Below are 2670 nucleotides of genomic sequence, written 5' to 3'. Positions count from 1 at the left end.
TGGCTGCAGCACTAAACCGTCCTTCCTGTGTCACCATCATTCAACAGGGGTTTAGAACACAAGAGGTGTCCTGTGGTCCAGGGTTGCCCAGCCCTCACATTCATTAAACTTTCAGGGAGAGAAATTGGCTTTCTTTCCCCATAACTCTCAAGGAGGAAGCAGCCACATATTTTACCTGAGGAGCTCATTTCAAGTACAGTATTAAATACTTTTTGATTTTCCATCAATAAGTTTTTCTTTATGGTTAACCAAACTCCATCACGCTATAATCTTAAATGTTTTTATAATTTTAATTTAATATAATGTTATATTTAATGTAAGTTTAATTTAATATAAAATATTACTTTAATATGAAATCAATGTGTATCTATAAAAAATATAAAAATATTAAGAAGAAAGTAATAGTTATTCATAATCATTTACTGGTGAAAATCAATGTTAATAATTGAGTATATGATATCTGTATATATGTATATAAATGTATGCACATGTGTATCTTGCTTTTATTTGATGTTATAAGTATTTCTCAATAAGTTATCTCATAAGTATTTCTCAATAAGTTATCTCAATATCATCAATAAATACGTTTTATCATCAATAAATAGAATCTTCCTAAGTAGAAGTTTGATTCTGTTTTTGGTTGTCATGTTTCTTTTAACACCCACAGTTATTTGGTGGCACTAAGAATAAATCACTAAACTTTTTATTCTAAATCCCAAATTATGAGAATCGTAGATGGCCTCATCCTATCTCTAAAACCCACCCAATCCCCAAAGCTCCTGAGGGTTAGAGTCAAAAATAGAAAGAATTAGGGTTCCAGAGACGGCAAGAATTAAACATATCACTTTTTTTTTTTTTGACTTAGAAATTCAGTGGTTTGTTCTTTAGGGACAGAAAACATCCATGGTATCAAAAGAGCCACAACAAAATGTCCTACTTCCCACTTTAATAGCTGCACCCCATAATTTTCTCAGCCATTGCCCATTGTTGGACATTAAACTTGTTTCCCACTTTTGGCTCGCATAAGTAACAATGCGATGAATTTTACTGGGTATGGATCTTTCACTGATTTCCATATGTTATCCTTAGGCTATATTCCTAGAAGAATTACTAGATGAAAAGGTAAAACTGTAAGGCTCTTGATTCCTATGTTAAGCTATAATTTATAGTCTTGCAGCCAACACAATCTTCAAAAAAATGTAACCTTTTATCATCTTAAAGTGGGCCATTCAACTTCCTCCTCACCAGATCCAGTAACTTCAGTTTCTTTAAACTTTTAACTTCTCCCCAAGGAGAGATGGGATTCCAGGATCTCAAGGAATTACAATCAATCCTGGATGGAGAAGCCTGCATATGACAAGACTCCACAAATAGGATGGAAGAGCATTTGGAGTCCATTTTCCCAGGAAATCACAGGCTGCCTGGACATGCTGTTCTCAAATGTATATTCTTCCCAGCTCTTGAAGGACCACTATCCCTGCTTCCACCATAGAAAAGGGAAAACAGATGCAACGACCATATTGATAAAACCCCAAGCCAGCATGATTGTTCTGGCAAACACAAATGTAGATACAAAGGCAATGGGGCTTAATATATTTTAAATCAAGGCCATCCCAACTGATATGTATTTAGTCTATTTGTAGACATTTCAACAAATAGGCACGAAGAGTCTGATAGTGCCAGGCACTGTGGTGATGCTGGGTGTGCAATAGCCAACCGCATAGGCACAGCCTCTATCCATGCGGAGTTTAGTTTCTGTGGGTAAGTGAGTATGTACAAGAAGTGCCATGATGCAGTCAGAGGGGGAAGCCTTCCTGCCCAGCTGGAAAGCCTGTGGACGACACAATGCAATCTGACCTTTCCATCATCAGCCCAACCAGCCCCACTCCCATGCCCTCCCACACCTTCAGAAGAGAAATCTTTGTTCATTTCTTTTACTTCTCTGCACATCACATGCTATTGAGAAGCACTGAGACAGAGCACAATCAAAGAGGCAAAGCACTGGATTTCACTGAGACACCAAATCTGAAAACAGGAGAGGAGACAGCCCTTGCTGACCCCTTTCAGCCCCCACATTCAATGTGTCCACAAAGGTAGACAGTAAACAGGAAAACTCACCACCACCCTCACTGTGACCTACTATCTTGGAGGCCAGACTGGCAAATCTCCTATGCAAATAAAGCCTCTTTGCTGGATGTCTAAGGCAGGTTTTATTTGCAGAGCAACTGACCAAATCCTGGGGCTCTGATGAGAGCCCAGACCTTCCCGGACCTCTCCGCAGGACCCTGGGTCGTCCTGAGCGTGTCTGCTCATAGTGCTAGTCTGTCCAGGGGTGTTTGTCATCTGCTTCATTGTATGTCTGTTTGTCTGTTTGTCTTCTCTCCAAATCTTTAGCAATTCAACAATAAACACCAGAAACCTAACTCTACTCAAAACATTCACAAAGGCGCTGCAACCATGCTTAATGGCATTGAAGCGAAGGAAGTGGGGCTGGGGGAAACAGGGTGTTGGTGGGTGTTCCCAGTTCCTATGGTCACAGCCTTAGCCACAGCCTTGAAACACACAGTATCGGGTTCTCAGCTAGCCCCCTTGGCGGGGAGAGCTGGGAGTTTCTGACCTCCTTTGGGGTTAAGGCTGCTGGTCTCAGTCTGTGCGTAAGCGAGTGGTCAC

General features: G+C 40.4%; 1 annotated feature.

Annotated features, from left to right (window-relative positions):
• Nucleotides 2133-2182: an enhancer, noted in NCBI's record as "active region_7652". NCBI's record gives its function as "activates an Ori minimal core promoter by ATAC-STARR-seq in GM12878 lymphoblastoid cells {active_cell/tissue: GM12878}" and the evidence as "EXISTENCE:reporter gene assay evidence [ECO:0000049][PMID:35858748]".

This window comes from Homo sapiens, chromosome 13 (assembly GCF_000001405.40).
Source record: "Homo sapiens chromosome 13, GRCh38.p14 Primary Assembly".
Classification (NCBI taxonomy): Eukaryota; Metazoa; Chordata; class Mammalia; order Primates; family Hominidae; genus Homo; species Homo sapiens.
This window is presented reverse-complemented; position numbering and strand designations above follow the sequence as displayed.